Source organism: Homo sapiens, chromosome 14, assembly GCF_000001405.40.
Source record: "Homo sapiens chromosome 14, GRCh38.p14 Primary Assembly".
In the NCBI taxonomy this organism is placed as follows: Eukaryota; Metazoa; Chordata; class Mammalia; order Primates; family Hominidae; genus Homo; species Homo sapiens.
In genome coordinates, this window is record NC_000014.9 from 60,180,438 (window position 1) to 60,202,880 (window position 22,443).

Below are 22,443 nucleotides of genomic sequence, written 5' to 3' on the forward strand. Positions count from 1 at the left end.
GACCACTTTGTCCTGTCCTCTCCTACTGGGATTCCCAATATGTGTATTTGGTTTGCTTAATGGCATCCCATAGGTCTCTCAGGCACTGTTTGTTTTTCTGCATTCCTTGACTGAATAATTTCAAAGGACCTATCTTTATGTTTGCTAATTCTTTCTATCATCCTGCTCAAATATGCTATTAAAATTCTCTAGAGAAATTTTTATTTCAGTTACTCTACTTTTCAGGTCGAGAATTTCTGTCTGGTTTCTTTTTATAATTTCTATTTTTTATTGATATTTTCTATTCATTTATCATTTCCCTGATTTTCTCTCACACTTTCTCCATGGTTTCCTTTAGCTCTTTGTGCATATTTAAGACAGTTTGACTAGGTAGTCCAATGTCTGTGCTTCCTCAGAGATAGTTTTTGTTCATTTCTTTTGTGAATGGGCCATACTTTCTTGTTTCTTTGCATGCTTTATAATTTTTTGTCAAAAATGGAAACTTAAAAGCAAGATAAAGAACAGTATTATAATATTTATTTAATAAACTCTTCTATAGCCAGGTATTTTTCTGCATGTTTTACAAATATGAAATCGTTTAGTCTTCTGAACAATCCTGTGAGATAGTGTTGTTATTATGTTCATTTTACAAGTGAGAAAACTGAGGGATAGAGAAGTTAATGTCATTGCAGCTAGTAAATGGCAGGGCTGGGATTTGTAGGAGGTGGAACTCTAGAATCTGTGCTTTTTCTCACTGTGCTGTATTTCATCTCTGTAGCTAGAGATTACTCTTTTTTTCCATTTATTCTTTATCATGGTAAAATATACATAACAAAATTTACCATTTTAACTATTTTTAAATATACAATTCAATGGCCTTAAGTATAATCAAATTGTTGTGCAAATGTGATCCAAATTTGCAAACATTTTTTCATTATCTCAAACTGAAACTCTGTACCCATTAAACAATAACTCCCTATCATCTTCCCCTGGCCCTGGTAACCACTATTCTACTTTCTTTCTCTATGAATGTGAGTATTCCAGGTACCTCACATATATGAAATCATATAATATTTGTCCTTTGATGTCTAGCTTATTTCATTTAGCATAATATCCTCGAGGTTCATTCATGTCGTAGCATGTTTTGGAATTTCATTGCTTTTTTAAGGCTGAATAATATTCCTATATATGTATATTCTACATTTTGTTTATCCATTCATCTGTCAATAGAAATTTCAGTTGTTTCCACCTTTTAATGAATAATACTATGAATATTGGTGAATATTTGTGTGACAGAAAGATAAATATTGTATACTCTTAGTCATATGTGGCAGCCAGAAAAGTAAGCTCATAAAAGTAGAGAGTAGAATTATGGTTCTTAGAGGCTGGGGAGAGTAGGGGCAAGAGAATGACAGAGAGAGGTTGGTTAACAGACACAAAATTACAGCTAGATAGGAGGAATAAATTATCGTGCTCTATAGTACTATAAGAACTATATTCTGAATATGGTTAATAATAATGTATTAATTATTCAAAAAACTAAAAGAGAGGATTTTGAATATTCCCCACACAAAAAATGATAAATGTTTGAGGTGATGGATATATTAATTACCCTGATTTGATCATTGCACATTGCATACATGTATTGAAATATTATTCTGTATCCCATAAATATGTACAATTACTACATGTCAGCTAAAAAGGAAAAATATTTGTGTAAGTTCCTGCTTTCAGTTCTTTTGGGTATAGATCCAGAAGTGTAATTACTGGATTATATTATAATTCTATGCTTAACTTTTTAAAGAACTGCTATGTTGTATTTCACAGTGGCTGTATCATTTTACAGCCCCATGAACAACACATAAGGGTTTCAATTTCTCTACATTACTAGCCACACTTGTTATTTTCTAGTTTTTGATAGTAACCATCCTAATGGATGTAAGATGGTATCTCATTATGGTTTTGATTTGCATTTTCCTAATAATTAGTGATGTTGAGCATCTTTTCATGTGTTTATTGCCCATTTCTACATCTGCTTTGAAGAAATGCTGTATCAAGCCCTTTGCCTATATTTGAGCTGTTTTATGTGTGTGCTGTTGTTGTTGTTGTTTTGCTATTGTGAAGTTATAAGAATTCTTTATATATTTTGAATATTAATCCATTATCAGATATATGATTTGCAAATATTTTCTTCCATTTGCTGGTTACATTTTTACTCTGTTTGATAGCTTACCACTTTAGTTCCCTTTTTCTTCATTCAGTATTCACTTTTGGAGATGTAAATTTTTTTGTCTGTTTTACAGAATTCTCACAAACTTGATTCTGAGAGTTTTTGCTTCAGTTTTTGATTTTTCTGTGGAGAGACATGCTCTGGGAGCTACCTACTCTACCATTTTTGCTGACATTACTCTAGCTGCCTTTTTCTGTAAATAAAGTTTTATAGGAACACATTTTTGCCCACTCATTGTTATACTGTCCATGGCTGCTGTGTTAGGTATCTCCTGACATGGATCCCTCTCCCTTAATATTCACGTCCTTATGCAATTCTCCTGTTTCAATGGGGGCTGGATCTAGTCACTTGCTTCTAACAAATACAATAGAGCAAAAGTGATGGGAAACTGGATATGGTTGCATGCATCTGTAGTCCCAGCTACTGAGGAGGCTGAGGTGGGAGGATTTCTTGAGTCAGGTAGTTCAAGGCTATAGTGCACTATGATAACACCACTGAATAGCCACTACACTTCAGCCTGGGAAACATAACAAGACCCCATCTCGGGGAAAAAAATGATGGGGTGTCATTTCTGTGGTTCAATTTGAAAAGACTGTGACCTCCTCTTGCTATTATTCTCTCACTCTCGCCTTCTCAGCTTGCAAGCATGGATGCAGCAAGCTGCCATGTGTGCAAGGCCCACAGGCAAGGAACTGAAAGTGGCCTCTACTAACAAGGAATCAAGGCTCTCACTCAAACACTCTATGAATCCAATCAACAACCACATAAGTGAGCTTCAAATCAGATCTTTTCCCAGTTGAGCCTTCTTAAGAGACCATACGGCTGGCCTACACCTTGATTATAGCCTTGTGAGAGACCATGAAGCAGAGAACCCTGCTAGTTTATGCCAGGATTTTGAACCACAGAAACTGAGATAATAAATGTGTGCTATTTTATGCCACCAAACTTTGGGTAAATTGTTACAAGGTATAGACAACTGATACAGCTGTTTTTGCATGACAACACTAGAGTTGATTATTGTTACAGGGACCATATGATTCATAAAGAATAATATATTTACTATCTGGCTTTTTACAGAAAAAGTTCTGTGTGAGAATGCAAGCAAGGAGGCTGGCAGGTATAGTCTTCCATGACTCAGAAAGGAGGGAAGAACCAGCTCCACGAGCACTAGTAACTAGATGAGCTACATGAGCACTAGACAATTACTGCCCTCTGATGTCCTGATGTACATCAAATGTCTATTTTGAACTCAAACTGCTTTCTTGGTATGACATCAGAACTTCTTCTTAAGTGTATAAAAGTTGAAGGCTCAGGAGAGCCAGTGATATATGTGTTCTCCCACACCACTCACAATCTGGTCCCCTTTATTTCCTGGAAAGTCCTGCAAAGGCTTTGGAATGAGACTACTTCAGTGATTCTGATGAGGAGTAAGACTTGGAAATTACCACTTTAAACTTCCCCAGAAAATCTCTTTTACAGAATTAATGTGCTTAACATACTGGTTCACAGAATAAGTGCTTCTTAAAGCAAAAGGGAATTTACCCTCTATCTGGGCCAAATGTGTCATTTTCTAGGTGAGAAAAATGAGGCTCGGAGAGCTTAAAAGGCTTTCTAAAGGCCACAGAGCCCCAGGTTTAAAGGAAAAGTGAAAGCAGATTCATTAATTCTCACCCCAGGGCATTTAAAAACTATTATTTAATTCAGTCTTTGAGCAAATTATCACAAGATCTGATTCAATTAAATGTGAATTTATATGATTTTACTGCATTAAGAATCATCTGATCTGCATGTTGGTTGAACAATTTACGTCAAGAAAAGTCTTTTATTACTTAATTTGCATTTTCTACCGAAGGCACCCATAAATAAGTCAGCATCGCCCTCTACTGGATGATTTGTATTTGTTACTCATTCGTTGCATCCAACATGATTTATGTAGAATTTTGGATATTTTTTCTTAATTTCAATGAAAGGTACATGAAAACCAGGACATTCCAGCTGTTTGGATATTCCCCTATGCCTATTAATCTGGTTGGATAACATTTTCCTCTTCCAAAAGAGGCCTTGATTTTCTAGTTTTGAGAATTATAAGTTTAAACAATGAATTCCAACATGTTAACAAAGAAGGAAAAGACAGAGTCAGAGAAACCAAGAGATGCAGATAGAGATGAGGAAAAGCTAGAGAGAGAGATATTAGAAGAGAGGGACAATTCTGGTCAGAGTGAAAGCAGACTGTTTTTCTACTTTGGCAGCTTCAAAAATAAACTCAAATAAATGCTTTCTTTGTGGCATCACTAGCTGCAGTTTTTATAATGCATATGCTAGTTCTAGCTCATGGAATAAACTTTTTATCTTCTTGAGACCACATTTAAGCTGTGAGCTGGGTTGACTACAATGATCGGTTCTTCTGCCTGTGAAAATGGTATGCTCCTATCAAAGCAGATTAAATTGTGGTTGGTTGGGAGTCAGCCAGCAAACTGTTAATAGCATTAAAACTGACTGAATTGCGGCTTAAATTTCGACATATAAGGTAAGAAAAAATAAACAGTAATAAAAAGATACCACTGCACACTTAGCTCTCACATTACAAAAAAAGAAGAATAACAAGTATAAATTAAATCATGTGATGTAAATTACTATAACAAGAACATCTAGTCGCAGTTGCAACAAGGCAAATGCAAATGCAAATGAGTGAGTCATCATTTCTGGGTTAAGCATCTGCAACCCAGACTCTTCAGCCCCGACCTCTATCATCTAGCCCAGAAACAGCTTCAGATCCTGGAAAGAATATGGGCTTTGGCATAGACACACCTGCATTCAAATTGCAGCTCTGCCACTGTGTGGCCTTGAGAAAAGCCTTGCTTTCCTTATCTGTAAGGTGGAGGTAATTGTATATAATTCATACAGTTTGGGAGAAATTAAATGAAATAAAGCATAGAAATCACTTAATACAGTATCTGCCATATATGGCTACTACACAACTCCAGGTGACACACACAGGCCATCATTTCCAAGCAACACATCCAAAACTCTCTCTCTCTCTACCTCTTCGTCCCTAATTACTACCCCCACTATTCACATGGTTGTCCAAGCCATAAGTTTGAGCACCACCCCAGATTCCATGTTCCTGCTCACCTCCATATATGCTTGCAAAACTTCTACTCTGTCTTCAAGACAGTTCAGGTGTCACCTCTCCTGGGAAGAATCTGGATTTCTTTGCCCCTCACAGACTAAGTTCTTGTTCTACTCCCATGTTCCCAAGCGCCCCATATATATGTCTATTAGACAGCTAGTTATACCATATTGTTGTGACTTGTTTCTCTTTCCCACTGGGCTGTAAGTACTTTTAGAACAGAGAATTATATATGATTCAAAGTTTTATCCCTAAGTTATATCAATGTACCTGCCACATGAAAATGCTGGAAAACATTTGTAGTATAAATGAATCAATGACCACATAAACGTGTTGGAGTTTCTTTTGTTTTATTTTAGCTATATGTATGTATTTGTTATTTATTTTTTAGAGACAGGGTCTTGCTGTGTCGCTGGGCTGGAGTGCAGTGGCCTCATCATAATTCACTGCAGCCTGGATCTCCTAGGCTCAAGCCATTCTCCCAGGTCAGCCTTCCCAGTAGCTGGGACTATAGGAGTATGTTACTACCCCCTGCTAATTATGTAAATTATATTTTTTGTAGCAACAGGATCTCATTACATTGCCCAGGCTGGTCTCAAACTCCTGGCCTCCAATCCTCCTACTTCGGCTTCTCAAAGCACTGGCATTACAGGCGTGTGTCATGGTGCCTGGCTTGGAGTTTCTTAAATGTTCATCTCATCCCTTTCCTCTATAGATTCTGAACCAATTGAACAACAGTCAGGAGTGATGTGAAGAATGCTACATGGGCTAGGTGAGATGGCTCACACCTGTAATCCCAGCACTTTGGGAGGTTGAGGTGGGAGGATCACTTGAGGTCAGGAGTTCGAGACCAGCCTGGCCAACATGGTGAAACCCCGCCTCTACTAAAAATACAAAAATTAGCTGGGCTTGGTGGCAGGCACCTGTAATCCCACCTACTCGGGAGGCTGAGGCACAAGAATCACTTGAACCTAGGAGGAGGCGGTTGCAGTCAGCTGGGAGCACACCACTGCACTCCAGCCTGGGTGATAGAGCAAGACTCCGTCTCAAAAAAAAAAAAAAAAAAAAAGAATGCTACATGGACCGGACCTTCAGGCAAGACCAGGCTTCCTATTCCTTCCCCCAGGTTTAGATTTCTTGACCCTGTAAATCAGCTAAGATTTGCTCAACAGCCGCATTCCCACTGGGGAAACAGCTACCTGCCCCATACCTACCAGCACGGAGTGAAAAACAAGCCTGCCTCTGGAAGCTTGTCATTGGACCTTGATCCAGCTGTGATTACCCCATAGAATCAGGAACAGAGGAAAAAAGATGCCCTTTGCAGGCAGGGCAGTTCTGAAAATGAGAATGCTTACATCAGTGCGGGTTGCTCCCTGCACAGGGTGCCAGCCAAGGAGCAGGTGGGGATTGAAATCCAGTCCACATTTCACTAGCCAAGCTATACTCACTGGTTTGAATCCATGTTACATAAAGATACCATCCGTCCATCAAGCCTTGTGGACAGAGGGCTGTGTCCACCCAGAGGGAGCACTTTTGTGTCATCTGTACAAAAGCTCCATGTGAACTCATGGGGTTCTTTTCCCCAAATCTCACCAATCAAATGAATCTTTTCTACTCCCTTGTAGAGGAACATCATAGATGGAAGTAAGGCCAGAACTTCCCTTCCGAATACTTGCAAAAGAACCTAAGTTTTATTTTTATGAGCTAGGAAAGGAAGGGAAGAGTTCTACCTAAGACAGATAAGCAGGGAGAAGAGAATTGGCGTTAATTGAACACATACTGTATGCCGGGCATTGGAGAGCATGTGATATGGATAAGCCATTTCATATTATTTGACCAAGTGTGTTAAGATTGATACTTCAGATGAGCGTCTTGAAGATTACATTAAAGAAGACCACACATCCAAAAGTGATGACACTTGAATCCAAAGTCCATCATCTACTACCACTCTGTGGTACTTTGTACTCTTTCAACAAAAAGTCCTACTGGCAGTGACTATTCTTTAAGATTTCCAGGAGCTGAGGAGCATGGCGCTGAACAATACAGACACAACTGTTATCCCATGATCTGCAATGAGAAACACAAGCCAGGCAGGATCAAGTTTTTAGACAGGTGTGTTCCAAAAGTTCACTTCAAGACTAATGCTTAGCAAATATTTTTTCTAAGTTATAAATAAAGATTACTTTCCTGAGTTAGCTCAAAAAATTGTTTTTAGTGTGGTTTGGACCCTTAACCCCTGAGATAGAGCTTCCCTGATTCTCTCTGATCATCGAGTCCCACTGGGTACCTTTGTGAGCCAGTAAACTCCCAGGTGGACTGGCTGTGTAAATGAGGGGGCTTGTAAAGCAAGCAACATAAAACGAAGGGTCTATGTAAAAAGTCCTACAAATAGGGCTTTGAAAATCTCTATTGCAGGGTTTCTCAAACTCAGCACTGTTAACATTTTGGGCCAGATAATTCTTGGTTGTGGGCGCTGTCTAGTACATTATAAGACATTTAGCAGCATCCTTGGACTTAACCCACTAGATGTCAGTAACAACCTCCCACCATCACAAGTTATGATAATCAAAAATGTCTCCAGACATTGCCAAATGTCCTGTGTGGGACCAAAATAGCTCTCCATTGAGACTTCGGAGTGCAATGGCTTCTGAACAATGGCCTATAACCATTTAGGTATTCCATAACTCTCAAAGGCCTAAAACCCAGGTTCTGTGAATAAATTCACTAATGTGTAAAAAAGCATAACATCTTAAAAAGTAAAACACAATTTTTGATGGTTGTGAAGGGCTATTTAAAAATTTTTAAAGATTTAATACCTCTAAATACCTAGATTTTTTAATACCTAGAAATATTTAATACTTTTTCTCATATAAAAGATGATTGAAGATTGTTTTTCAATCTCAAATAAAATATACTGTTCCCCAGACAGTGTAAGATATTTTAGAATAAGAATTAATTAAGAATTATGATACTCTTATTTTCAGGTGGTAATTTAGTATCAACAACAGGCCTTTTCTTTGGCTATAAACAGAAAAATGTGGGTGTGGACATAATGAAGCAATTGTACAGTTTGAAATAGTGAATAACTCACATCCCTCATAGAGAAAGGGTCATGCTACCTTCACAACGCAGGCCAAGAAAATTCCCATGATCTAAGCCACATAGAAGAGTTTCAGATTCCACAAAATACTTTGAGCCCCCTCCTTTATTCTCCCATCCCATTATTCTCTGTTTTTGAATGATCAAAAAGTGAAGTTTCCTTCACTTTTGGGCTAATGCCCAAATGCCCTTTGGGAAAGTTCAACTTCTCTTTTATTTGAAAATTAAAATTCTTATCTGATGAACTTCAAAATCTCCATCCAAAGATGAATACAGAGGTTATGAGTTGCTCTAGCTCTCTAAGTGCTACATAAAACAGACGAAGAATAGAATTCCAGGACTCGGCCTTCCCAGTCCGCTATAGACATTATTATAATTCTCCAACTGAAAGCCAAATTCTGGCTATAAATTCTGGCTATGTTACCATTAAGCTGACTTCTCATCCACATTTTCTAATACCAACACTTTCAAAAAGAATTGAAAACATATATGGTTAGTATATAAGCAGAGTATAGCGGCTGAGAGCTGGGATGCTGGCACCCAATGACTTCGATGCAGAATCTTGGCTCTGCCACTTACTAGCTTGTGACCTTGAGACCCTCCACCTCAACCTCTTTGTGCCTGTTTCCTCAACTACCCAGTGGAGATAATAAAAGTGTTCATACCTTAAGGTAGTTATAAGGAATTAATGAGTCAATATTTATAAAGCGCATAGATTGGTATCTAACACACAGTAAGTGCTAAAAAGGTATCTGTTAAACAAAATTATACAATAAATAGAGCAACACAAGGCCTTTGTCCCATTATTACAATCATGAAATGCTCTAGGGGAAAAATGAGAAAACAGGCTTTTTGTTTTTGCTACTGTCACTTCCTTCTTCCAGTCCCTTCTTCCTTTTTCTGTGTCTATTTCATGTCTTCTTTCCAGGTTCCTACCAGGGTGTTAGCAGAGAACAACTGGTGATGCTTAAGGTGCCAGTCTAAGCTTCCTTCGCAGAGGTGCCTTTGAATTTCCCCTGGAGACTCTGAAAAGCTAAAAAGCCCGCAGAACTTAAAGAAGTGAATCTCTAGCCCTGCAGCATAAGTGAGGAGTTGTATTTTCAGAGAGGGGGACCCTCCAGGCCTGGTCTGCACACTCCTCAGGCTGGCCCTGGGGAGAACAGTAATGCAAATTCATACCTTTGAGCTAAAAAATTAAATTTAAAAAATAAGCAGCCTCAAGTTTCTGCAGTCTAGCATATGGCAACTGTGGCACTGTCTTGAAATGAGTCATCTGAAGCCCAAGTTAGAAGCAGACATAATTTCCAGATGTCAAAAAAAATATTTTTCCCTAAACAGAAAAGCAAGCAAGATGGAGTGCAATTTTCAAAACTGCTTATTTTACTAGCTGTTAATGTTTACTCACTTCTGATTTTCCCAAGATTATCCCCTTGTAAGCTGCGGCCTAAATGCATTTAAATTGCCTTTGAATATACCAAGCAATGCTTACTACCATGGAAACAGAACCAAGGATATGCAAGATGACTCCTCTGGGGCATAATTTGGTGCTCTAGATACTTTTGATTGGTTGCTCCCTGCTCTGTCACCTCTTCTCTGAAATGTAATCATGTTGGTTGGATTTATTTTTATTATCCACAGGAGCACACAATTCACCAAGTAGTGGAAAATGCCATTCATTCATCAAAGTCCTTCCAGAGAGACATGGGCGGCATTAGCGAGCAAATCCTTATGTGTCAGAAAACACGGGCAGATTGCTCCAGAAGGATTTGGGCCTTTGCCCAACAGTCTAGGAGATAACCTGCACCTTTAAAAATGTTATTTGTGTAGGAGAAAGGACTACAGACTGGTGCCCCAAAGAATGCTGCCTAATGCCCTGGTTCTGGAGAATGTAAGTGGATAGTAGTTGTACACTTCTGTATAAATGGTATATGAAATAATAATAATAAGGGATGAAAACAGAAATATCCAATTCCTGGCTTTGTTGTTAAGGTATTTATAAGCTCAATAAAATTACTTAGCTCTGTTTTTTTAATGTAAAATGGCCATTTGTAGAGTGGAGTAGAGAATAGGACTTGGGTTCAGTTTGAGGTCAATGTTTGTAAACTAATGAATCCTTTGGATGAAGGATCTAGGCATAAAGAACAAATAGTATTTCCCTTGCCTGTCTCATCAATCCACAATGAAGATGAGAGAAAAATATCAAGGTCAAGTCTGTTGTTTTTGTTTAAAAAATACCATCTGAGCCGAGAGCATCTATCTTAGCCACTTGAAGGGATAATGTCCTTATGCTTCCTACAAAACTTGATTCATGTAATGTGTACAAACACAAAACAAACAAATACTGTGATTTTTGGATTCATATTTCCTTCTCTTTCTGGAGTGCCTTGAAATTCTCTGGGCATATGTCAATGCATGGGAACAGAGACCAGCTGCTTCTTGGAATAAACAATATCACAGCAATGAAAAGATGCAAAGGCCAGAGTTGGACAAGCTGAGGCTACCTGACCTTCACTCTGCACAGAAATGATTGTGGCATTTAGATGTTGATAGATGTTGAAATATTAAAACATTGACAACTAAGTTTAAGCTCTATAGTACAGAAAAGTTCCTGTATATCCCTAAGAAATATATTAATAAATATATTTACAGATATTTCTAACAGAAAAATTGGCAAGGAAGGTGGACTGATCATTTATGTAAATGAATATAAAATTAGTTCATAAAAACTTGAGGGGAATTTAATTAATAATCAGAAAAATTAAAAAACTATTTTATAACTGATTCGCAAAACAATTTAATCATTTAATGCTGGCAGAGTTATGGAAAGTGAGGCAGACATATGTCATGTTTGTGGCCAACGGCATCTTTTGAACAATGTTCTTATATTTGGAGAAGTTCTTATGAGTTCTGCCTTTTAAGGAAAAATAAATAACTTATTTTCCCAACCTCCTTTGCAACAGAGACGTAGACATGTAACCTAGGCTCCACCAATCAAATATAGCCAATTGAGATTTTGTTAGAGAAGAAGGAAAAGGGAGGATGCAGATGCTTCACAGAGTTTATTTTCTGATGGAAGTGACAGCAGAGTTCCTGGCACCAGCCAGTGCCCAGACTCAGCAAATGAGCTGTGGTGGTATTTCCTGATGGCAGCAGCACGCTTTTCTCCAAAGCAGTCCTGGAGGGTGATGTGAGCATCCTTCATGGCTGTGTAGTCTTCCAAGACTTACTCTCTGGACTTCCAGAGGACCAGTTAATTCCTAAGGACACTGGTTAAATACAGCATGTTCATTTGCATATCCTGGGTGCAAATATAAATAGGAATGCCACTTCAGTATTGTATCTCAAGTTCCAGAAAAAAATTACCTTGCATTTATTAAGCCTTCTTATAAAAATATGTGCCAAGGAAATAGCCCAAAAGAAGAAAAATGGCAATATGAGTGGGCAATTTAAAATTTCAAAGGATTGGAAACAACCTGCAGGCTCACCAACAGGGTAGGAGTTAAGTCAGTCGTGGCATACTCTTGGTAGTCAGTAGAATGCCAGCATTTCTACATGGTAGGGGCTTGGGATACACTCTTTTGTAAGAGGGAGGACCAGGGACTTAAATCTGCATTTAGATAGAGTATATGCTCTTTTTACTTAGATGGAATATTTATTTGGGGTTGCTTGTGGGTAATGAAGAACGGGACTGGAGGGCATTAAAACCTGCCACAACCATCTCTCTATTGGCAAACTATTACACAGTGAATAAAATAACTACCAGGAAGTATTTGGGTTTTTTTAAGTTTTTAATTTTGGGGGGTACATTGTAGGTTTATGTATTTATAGGTTACTTGAGATATTTTGATACAGGCATGCAATGCTTAATAATCTTATCAGGGTAAATGGGGTATCAATCACTTCAAGCATTTATCCTTTGTGTCACAGACAGTCCAATTATACGCTTTAGGTATTTTTAAGTTTATAATTAATTTTTATTGACTATAGTCACCCTGTTTTGATAGCAAATACTAGGTCTTATTCATTCATTCTATTTTTTGTACCCCTTAACCATTTCCACTTTCCCCTTCTGACCCCCCAGTACCCTTCCCAGCTTCTGGTAACCATCCTTTTACTGTCTATCTCCGTAAGTTCAATTGTTTTCATTTTTAGCTCCTGCAAATAAGTGAGAACATGTGAAGTTCGTCTTTCTGTGCCTGGCTCATTTCACTTAGCATAATGACCTCTAGTTTCATCCATGTTGTTGCAAATGACAGAATCTCATTCTTTTTTATGACTGAATAGTACTCCATTGTGTATATGTACCACATTTTCTTTATTCATTCAACTGTTGATGGACACTTAGGTCCAAATGTTGGCTATTGTGAATAGTGCTGCAATAAACGTGGGAGGGCAGATATCTCTAATATAATGATTTCCTTTCTTTTGGGTGTATACCTGGCATTGAGATTGCTGGATCATATTGGTAGTTCTATTTTTAGTTTTTTAAGGAACCTCCAAACTTTTCTCCATAGTGGTTGTATTAATTTACATTCCCACCAACAATGTACAAGTGTTCCATTTTCCCTACATCCTCACTGACATTCATTATTGCCTGATATAATGAATAAAAGGTTTTTGGCTTAAAGCCATTTTAATTGGGGCGAGATGATATATCATTGTGTTTTGATTTGCAAGGAAGTTTTTGTAGCAATATAGAAAAATATTCATATGTTGTTAAAGGAATAGAACAAAACCCAAAATTATATCTATGATGTGACTACTACTGTTATGTAAAAAATTGAAATAGTGTTCTGCCAAGGTTTTTCAATGCAATGAATATTTTTGTGCTTTGCAAAATTATCGTAAGTGTTCAAATTATATCTTCTCTTTGGCAATGTCTCACTGATGTTATGGTGATATCGCTACCTGCTCAGTGAGGATGACTTTGACACCTACTGTCTTTCGGCAGAGTTAGACTCAATCTGAGCCTTAGGTGGTATGGCTTCTTTGGGTATTCATGGATCCACAGGGCCAAAGGGAAGAGAAATCACTATGTAAAATCTCCAGCCACATAGGCCTTTCCACCAGAATTGTAAACATGCACCTGCTCGCATGGGGAATGGGGGAGTGCTGGAGGGACAATAAATTGGCAAACCTCTTGGCATTCTCTAATAAAGTCGGAGCTATCCATACCTTATGACCCAGAAATGCCACTCCAAGAGAATTATCCTGGGGAAACTAGAGGCACATATGCATCAGTAAATATGCCCAAGAATGTTTATAATAGCACTATTCCTATTCAACAAAAACTAAAACAACTTAAATGTTCGTCACTAGTAGGATGGATAAAAATGGGTAAATATATAGGGTAATCATGTAATGCTATACAAAAATGAGTGTATATATAAACTACATTTAGACTCAACAAAATGGACGAGGCTCAGAAACATAACGATGAATGAAGGCAGCAAGATATATGGTATGATTCCATTTGTAAAAAGTTTAAAAACAGGCAAAATTAAGCTATGCTATTAAGGTATGAATATAAAATTGGTAAAACTATAAGGTAGGAAAATGATTATCACAAATGTCAAAATAGTGGGTACCTCTGAGGAGGGAAGGAAAGAGGGAACTGTGTTTGGAAAGGGGAACACTGGGGCTTCTGGCCTGGCAATGCTCTTTCTTGATTAGGCAAGGTTTTCTTTTTTCACATTCGTCATTTTGCATTAAACAGTGGGACATTTGTATTTTATGCTTTTTTATGTGTATATTATAGTTTTGTTGTTGTTGTTGTTGAGACAGAGTCTCACTCTGTCGCCCAGGCTGGAGTGCAATGGCATGATCTCAGCTCACTGCAACCTCCACCTCCTGGGTTCAAGCAATTCTCCTGCCTCAGCCTCCTGAGTAGCTGGGATTACAGGCACATGCCACCATGCCCAGCTAATTTTTGTATTTTTAGCTGAGATGGGGTTTCACCATGTTGGCCAGGCTGGTCCCAAACTCCTGACCTCAGGTGATCCGCCCACATCGGCCTCCCAGAGTGATGGGATTACAGGTGTGAGCCACGGCTCCCAGTCTCTAGTTTATTTTTAAAAAATAAAAAGAGGAGACTCTAACAAAAAGGTCTGTATGTCAGGAGTTAGGCAGTGGAGAAATCACATTTCTAGAAACAAAAACCCTCTTCAGGTCACTGAAGTGGGAGTTGAAGAAGTTAGTTTAAGATCTTGATTAATAAAACAGAGCCACCTCAGGGATTTGGTTATCAGTGAGGAGCAGGGTTCAGAAGCACTGCTTAATGAATAAATATGATCTTTTGAATTCCTCCATGGGAAGTCTAGATCATCAGGAATTATGTCTTTGAAAGACTCCAGGGCAGTGGAAAGGAGAGCTCTGTAGGTTGTAGAGGCTGGTGCATGGGAAGGAGTCCTCGCTTAGTTTATGCCTGTATCCTCTCCTGCTTCTGCCTCTTCATCTCATGCAGTATTGACTGAGAAACTCAAGAGGGAGGCATGGACCTGCCAATAGAGAAGTCAAGGTTACAGTTTTTAGATCCAAATTAGGGTTATCCATCACTGTCATAAAGTCATGAACACAGGGGTGTTTATTAACTGGTCAATCCACACTGGGCATGGTGGCCCATGAGAGGGCTCTGAAATGAAGGGGAAAAGCATTTCAGGAACTGTTAGACTGAAAGCAGGACTCCAACAATCTTAAACGGAACCCAGAACAGCAGAGTCGTGAAGAGTGGACAGTACTTACTACATTGTACTATGGCCAGTGAGGTTACCTGACTCACTCTCCTGCTTATAAACTGTTGCCCAGGAAAGTTTCAAGCTCAGTCTTATCGAGCCCTCTTCAAACTGACATGGATAGCAAAATACCTAGCAATTTTTCAGTTGATTGATCAACCTGGGCGGTCTGCCCCATACTAAACATTTTACCAAGAACCAAAAGATTGTGTTGATTACTTGTGAATTTGAAATCTGTCATTTAAAGCTCAAGACCTGAAGATTCTCACTGGCCTAAGTTTAGTGTTGTGTTCCCGGCATACTATTAAACTAGAAACTTGGAAAGAAACAAAAGAGATTACTTGGTGCTCTTGCGATGTAGTGCTGAGCTTAACTTCCTATTGACTCAGTTATTTTACAACTCTGTGGGGGTAGAAGTGAACTTAAAAGTTCTCATCTGGCAGAGACGCAGATAATTTCTTTCTGATAGAAGAGATAACCACAAAAGTTATAGTTATGGCCCTACTGGACATTAACCAGTTTTGTATATAAGCCAGCAATCTTATGCCAGCACTGTCAAAGACACCTAGTTTCTTAAATGCTCTTTGGACAGATTTGAAACTCAACTTGACATCCATAGGCTAAAAAAAAGACCTTTCCACTGTGAAAGACCATGTGAATAACAAAGACTGTGAAGAAGATAAACAGACAAGCTACAGACTGGGAGAAAAATATTTGCAAACTACATATCCAACAAATTAAAACTCAAAACCTAATACTAAAAAAAATAAATAAACAATTCAGTTAGAACATGGACCAAAAGCATGAACAGACATTTCACTGAAGATGGTAGATAAGCCCATGAAAAGATGTTCACTAGCTATCAGGGAAGTTAAAATTAAAACCACAATGACTAATCACTCTATACCTACCAGAAGGGGAAAATAAAAAAAATAGTAACAGCACCAAACGGTGATGAGGAATGAAGAGAAACTGAATCACTCATACGTTGTTGATGGGAATATAAAATGGTACAGCCACTTTGGAAAATACTTTGGTAGTTTCTCTAAAAGCTAAACACACAAATATTCATATGACCCAGCATCTGTACCCTTGAGCATTTATCCCAGAGAAATGAACTTATACCCACAACAAATGTTGTTCACAAATGTTCATATCAGCTTTATTCATAATGGCCAAAACTGGAAACAGTCCAGAGGCCTTTCAATGAATGAATGGTTAAATAAACTGTGACATATCTATACCATGAAATACTACTTAGCAATAAAAAGAAACAAACTATTGATACGTGCAATAATGTGGATGAATCTCCAGGGAATTATGATGAGTGGGGGAAAAAGTCAATCCTAAACAGTTACATACTATATGATTCTACTGTATTTCTTTAACAACAGTTCAATGTTAAGATTTAACATATTTTAACATTTTGAGCATTTAATATTCTTTTATTTAACATTCAATATTTAAAATTATTTAACAAATTTAAGCACATATTTAACATAAAATTTCAGAAATGAAGAACAGACTAGTGGTTTCCAGAGTTAAGAACCAGAGTTGGAAAGTGGGGCAAAAGAGAGGAGAGAGGCAGAGTAAGATGGTCAGAGAGAACATTCCAGTAATCATCCCCCCAGCAGGAACACCAAATTGAATAACTATCCACAGAAGAAAGCACCTTCATAAGAACCAAAAATCAGGTCAATAATCACAGTACCTACTTTTAACACCATATCAAGGAAAGAGGCACTGAAGAGGGCATGAAAGACAGTCTTGAATTATCAATACCACCCCTCCCCAATCCTCAGCAGCGGCTACATAGTGCTGAGAGAGAATCTGTGCATTTGGGGGAGGGAGGACAAAGTGACTGTGGGATTTTGCATTGGAACCCAGTGCTGCTCTGTCACAGAGGAAAGCAACACGAGGCAGAATTCACCTGGAGCCCATGTAGAAAGCATTCAGACCAGCCTTAGCCAGAGGAGAATTGCCCATCCCAACAGTTGGAATCTGAGTTCCAGCAAGCTCTGCCACCATGGATTAAAGTGCTCTGAGGTCCTAAATCAACTTGAAAGGCCATCTGTGTCACAAGGGCTACAATTTCTGGGCAAGTCCTGTTGCTGTGCTGGGCTTGAAGTCAGTGGTCTGGGGGTGCATATAACCTAGTGAGACAGCAGCCAGGGTGGCCAAGGGAGTGCTCACACCACCCTTCCCCCAACCCCAGGCACTGCAGCTTGCAAATCCAGGAAGGACTACTTCCTTCTGTGTGAGGAGAAGAAGGAGTAAAGAGGACTTTGTCTTGCAACTTGGATACCAGCTCAGCCACAGAAGAATAGGGCACCAGAAAGAGTCCTGATGCCTCCACTGTAGGCTCTAGCTCTTGGATGACAATTCTAGACACATTCTGGGCCAAAAGGGAACCTGCTATTTTGAAGGGAAGGACCCAGTTCTGGCAGGATGAGTCACCTGCTAACTAAACAGCCCTTGGGCCCTGAATAATAAGCAGTGGCACCCAGGCAGTTCTCACCATAGGCCTTGGGTGGGACTCAGAGCTGTGCTGGCTTCGAGTGTGACCCATCACATTCCCATGTGTGGTGGTCACAGGGACAGACCCATTCTGCCTGAGAAAAGGAGAGGAAATAACAAAGGGCACTTTGTCTAGCAGCTTGGGTACCAGCTTGACCACACTGGACTAGAGCACCAGGCAGGCTCCTGGGGTCCCAGATTCTAGGCCTTGGCTCCTGGACGGCATTTCCGCACCTGCCTTGGGCCAGAGGGTGGCCCAATGCCCTGAAGTAAGAGACCCCGGCTGGCAGCATTCATCACAAGCTGACCAAAGAGCCCTTGGGCCTTGAGTGAATATTGATGGTAGCCAGGCAGTACTCATCAGAGGCACCTTCTGGTTGAAGAAAGGAGAGGAAGGCATGTGAAAGACTTTGTCTTATGGCTTAGATGCCAGTTTGGCTGCGATAGGATAAAGCACCAAGTAAATTCCAAGGTTCCTGGCTCCATGCCGTGGCTCCTAAATGGCATGTCTGGGCCCACCCTAGGCTAGAGGGTGGGTGCTCACTGACCTGAAAGCAAGGACACATACCTGGCTGGACTCACCACCTGCTGATTGAAGAGCTCGTAAGCCCTGAGTGAACATCGGCAGCAGCCAGGCAGTGGATGCTGCAGGTGTTGGGTAAGACCTAGTGCTATGCTGGCTTCAGATCTGACCCAATATGGTCCCAGTGGCAGTGGTCACAGGGGGCTTGTGTCACCCCTCTCCTAGCTCCAGGAAGCTCAGCACAGACACAGAGAGAGACTCCATTTGTTTGGGGGAAAGTAAGGGAAAAGAGCAAGAGTCTCTGCCTAGTAATCTGGGGAATTCTCTCAGCTCTAACCCAAGACCACCAAGGCAGTACCTCTATAACACTGCAAGAGTCACAACTTTACTGGGCTTGGTGGGGGCCCCTAATGCAGATACAGTTGCAGTGACCAAAGACTTACATCACAGTAGTCAATTCCCTTTGAATACTTGGAGAGCCTTTCCAAGAACAGGTACGATCAAGCCCAGACTGTGAAGACTATAATAAATGCCTAACTTCTCAATGCCCAAACATTGACAAACATCAAGAAGCATAAAGACCATCCAGGAAGACATGACCTCACCAGATGAACTAAATAAGGCACCAATGACCAATCCTAGAGTGACAGAGATATGTGATCTTTCAGATAGAGAATTCAAAATAGCTGTTTTGAGGGAGCTCAAAAAATTCAAAATAACACAGAGAAGGAATTCAGAATCCTATCACATACATTTAACAAAGACATTGAAATGAAATTTAAAGGTCAGGCAGAAATTCTGGAGCTAAAAAATGCAATTGACATATTGAAGAATACATCAGAGTCTCTCAACAGAATTGATCAAACTGAAGAAATAATTGGTGAACTGGAAGATGGGGTACTTGAAAATACACAGTCAGGCCAGGCACAGTGGCTCATGCCTGTAATCCCAATTCTTTGGGAGGCCAAGGCAAGAGTATTGCTTGAGGCCAGAAGTTTGAGATCAGCCTGGGCAGCATAGTGAGGCCCCACCTTTACAAAAACATTTAAAAATTATCTGAGTATTGCAACACATGCTCATAGTTCTAGCTACTTGGGAGGCTGAAGTGGGAGGATCATTTGGGTCTAGGAGTTTGAGGTTACAGTGAGCTATGATTGTACCATTGCTCTCTATCCTAGGTGGCAGAGCAAGATCTCATCTCAAAAATAAGTTTAAAGGAAAAAAAAAAGAAACAAAATACACAGTCAGAGGAGACAAAAGAAAAAGGAATAACAGAGAATGAAGCGTGCTTACGAGATCTAGAAAATAGCCTCAAAAGGGCAAATCTAAGAGTTATTGGCTTGAAAGGGGAGGTAGAGAGAGAGAAAGGGGTAGAAAGTCCATACAAAAGGATAGTAACAGAGAACTTTCCAAACCTAGGGAAATATATCAATATTCAAGTACAATAATGTTATAGAACACCAAGAAGATTTGACCCAAATAAGACTACCTCAAGACATTTAATAATCAAACTCCCAAAAGCCAACAATAAAGAAAGAATCCCAAAAACAGCAAGAGAAAAGAAACAATAACATACAAAGGAGCTCCAATATGTGTGACAGCAGACTTCTCAGTGGGAACCCTACAGGCCAGGAGAGAATGGCATGGCATGACAAATTTAAAGTTCTCAAGGGAAAAATATTTTATTTTAGAATAGTATATCCAGTAAAAGTATTCTTTGAACATGAAGGAGAAATAAAGACTTTCTGAGACAAACAAAAGCTGAGGGATTTCATGAACACTAGACCTATCCTATAAGAAATGCTAACAGTTCTTCAATCTGAAAGAAGAGGATGTTAATGAGCAGTAAGAAATCATCTAGGCTGGGCATGGTGGCTTACGCCTGTAATCCCAGCACTTTGGGAGGCCAAGGCGGGAGGATCACCTGAGGTCAGGAGTTTGTGACCAGCCTGGCCAACATGGTGAAACCCTGCCTCTACTAAAAATAAATAAATGGTGCTGGGAAACTGGATATCCTTATGCAGAAGAAGGAAAATAGACTCCTGTCTCTTGTCATATACAAAAATCAAATCAAAATGGATTAAAGACAAATCTAAAACCTCAAGCTATGAAACTACTAAAAGAGAATTTCAGGGAAACTCTCCAGGACATTGGTCTTGGCAAAGATTTCTTGAGTAATATCCCACCAGCCCAGGCAACCAAAGCAAAAATGGACAAATGGGATCACATCAAGTTAAAAAGCTTTTGCATAGCAAAGAAAACAATCAACAAAGAGACAACCCACAGAATGGGATGAAATATCTGCAAACAAATATTTATCCCTTCATTTCGCAAAGGATTAATACCCAGATTATGTAAGGAGTTCAAACACCTCAATAGGAAAAAATGTTGTAATAATCTAAAAGTGATAAAAATACGCAAAAGCTCGAAAAGACATTTCTCAAAAGAAGGCATACAAATGGCAAACAGGTATATGAAAAATGCTCAACATTATTGATCATCAGAGAAATGTAAATCAAAACTACAATGAGGTATCATCTCGCCCCAGTTAAAAGGTGGCTTTTATCCAAAATACAGGCAATAATGAATGCTGGGGAGGATGTGGGGAAAAAGGAACCCTCATACACTGTTGGTGGCAATGTAAATTAGTATAACCACTATGGAGAACAGTACGGTGTTTCCTCAATAACTCACAGAACTACCATGTGATTCAGCAATCCCACTGCTAGGTATACATCCACAAGAAAGGAAATCAGTATATTGAAGAAACGTCTGAAGAAATAAACTTCCATGTCTATTGCAGCACTATTCACAATAGCCAAGATTTGGAAGCAATCTAAGTGTTCAATAACAGGCGTACAGATAAAGAAAATATGGTACATATACACAATGGAGTACTATTCAGCCATAAAAAATAATGAGATCCTGTCATTTGCAACAACATGGATGGAACTGGAGGTAATTATGTTAAGTGAAATAAGCCAGGCGCAGAAAGACAAACTTCACATGTTATCTCTCATTTGTAGGAGTTAAAAATTAAAACACCTGAACCCATGGAGATAGAGAGTAGAATGATGGTTACTAGAGGCTGGGAACGATTGTGGGCGGTGGGGAAAGTCAGGATGGTTAATGAGTATAAAAATATAGTTAGATGGAATGAATAAGAGCTACTATTTGATAACACAACAGAGTGATTACAGTCAACAATAATTTACTGTACATGTTTAAATAACTAAAAGGATATAATTAGAATGATTGTAGCACAAAGAAATGATAAGTGTTTGGTGATGGATATTCCATTTACCCTGAGGTGATTATTATGCATTGTATGCCTGTTGCAAAATATCTCATGTACCCCATAAATACATATAACTTCTATTAATATGTATCCATAAAAATTAAAAATTTAAAAAAGTGGAATGTAGGTGAGGGTATAAAGGTAACAGGAGAGATCTTTCTTATGGTAAAGGAACTGCTCCGTATCTTGCTTATGCTGGTGAATAACCAAACCTACAGATGTGATAAAATTGTATAGAACTAAACACACACCCATATGCAAATGAGTACAAGCAAAACTTGGGAAATCTGAATAAGATCTACAGATTGTATCAATGCCAATATCTTGGTTGTGATATCATAGTATAGTTTTGCAAGATATAACCATTGGGGGAACCCAGATAATGGGTACAGAGATCTCTCTATTATTTTTTACAATTACATGTAAATCTATAATTGTCTCAATTAAAATTTTAACTAAAATGATAATACATGCCCTCTGTAAAAAAAAAAAAAAGAGAAAAAGAAGAAAATCAAAATAATCCTCAATTTCACCACTTAGAAATAAGCAGCTGCTAAGACTTTGAAACATATTTTTTCATCCCTTTAAGAATTCATATTTTAAAATGTTGGTATTGAACTGTTTTATAAGCCAGTTTTTTTTTAACATCGTATATTCTGTTAAGTTTTCCATGTTATTAAACAAACTTTTTTTTTAGAGGCAGCGTCTAGCACTGCCACCCAGGCTGGAGTGCATTGGCATGACCACGGCTCACTCTAGCATCAAACTCCTGGGCTTAAGAAATCCTTCTGCCTCAGCCTCCCAAGTATCTGAGACTACGTGTGTGCACCACCATGTCTGACTTTCTTTTTTTTTTTTTTTTTTTTGGTAGAGATGGGGGTCTCACTGTGTTGCCTAGGTTGGTCTTGAACTCCTGGCCTAAAGCTCTCCTCCTGC

General features: G+C 38.9%; 1 annotated feature.

The window, feature by feature from the left end:
- Positions 9,463 to 9,582: an enhancer, noted in NCBI's record as "active region_8469". NCBI's record gives its function as "activates an Ori minimal core promoter by ATAC-STARR-seq in GM12878 lymphoblastoid cells {active_cell/tissue: GM12878}" and the evidence as "EXISTENCE:reporter gene assay evidence [ECO:0000049][PMID:35858748]".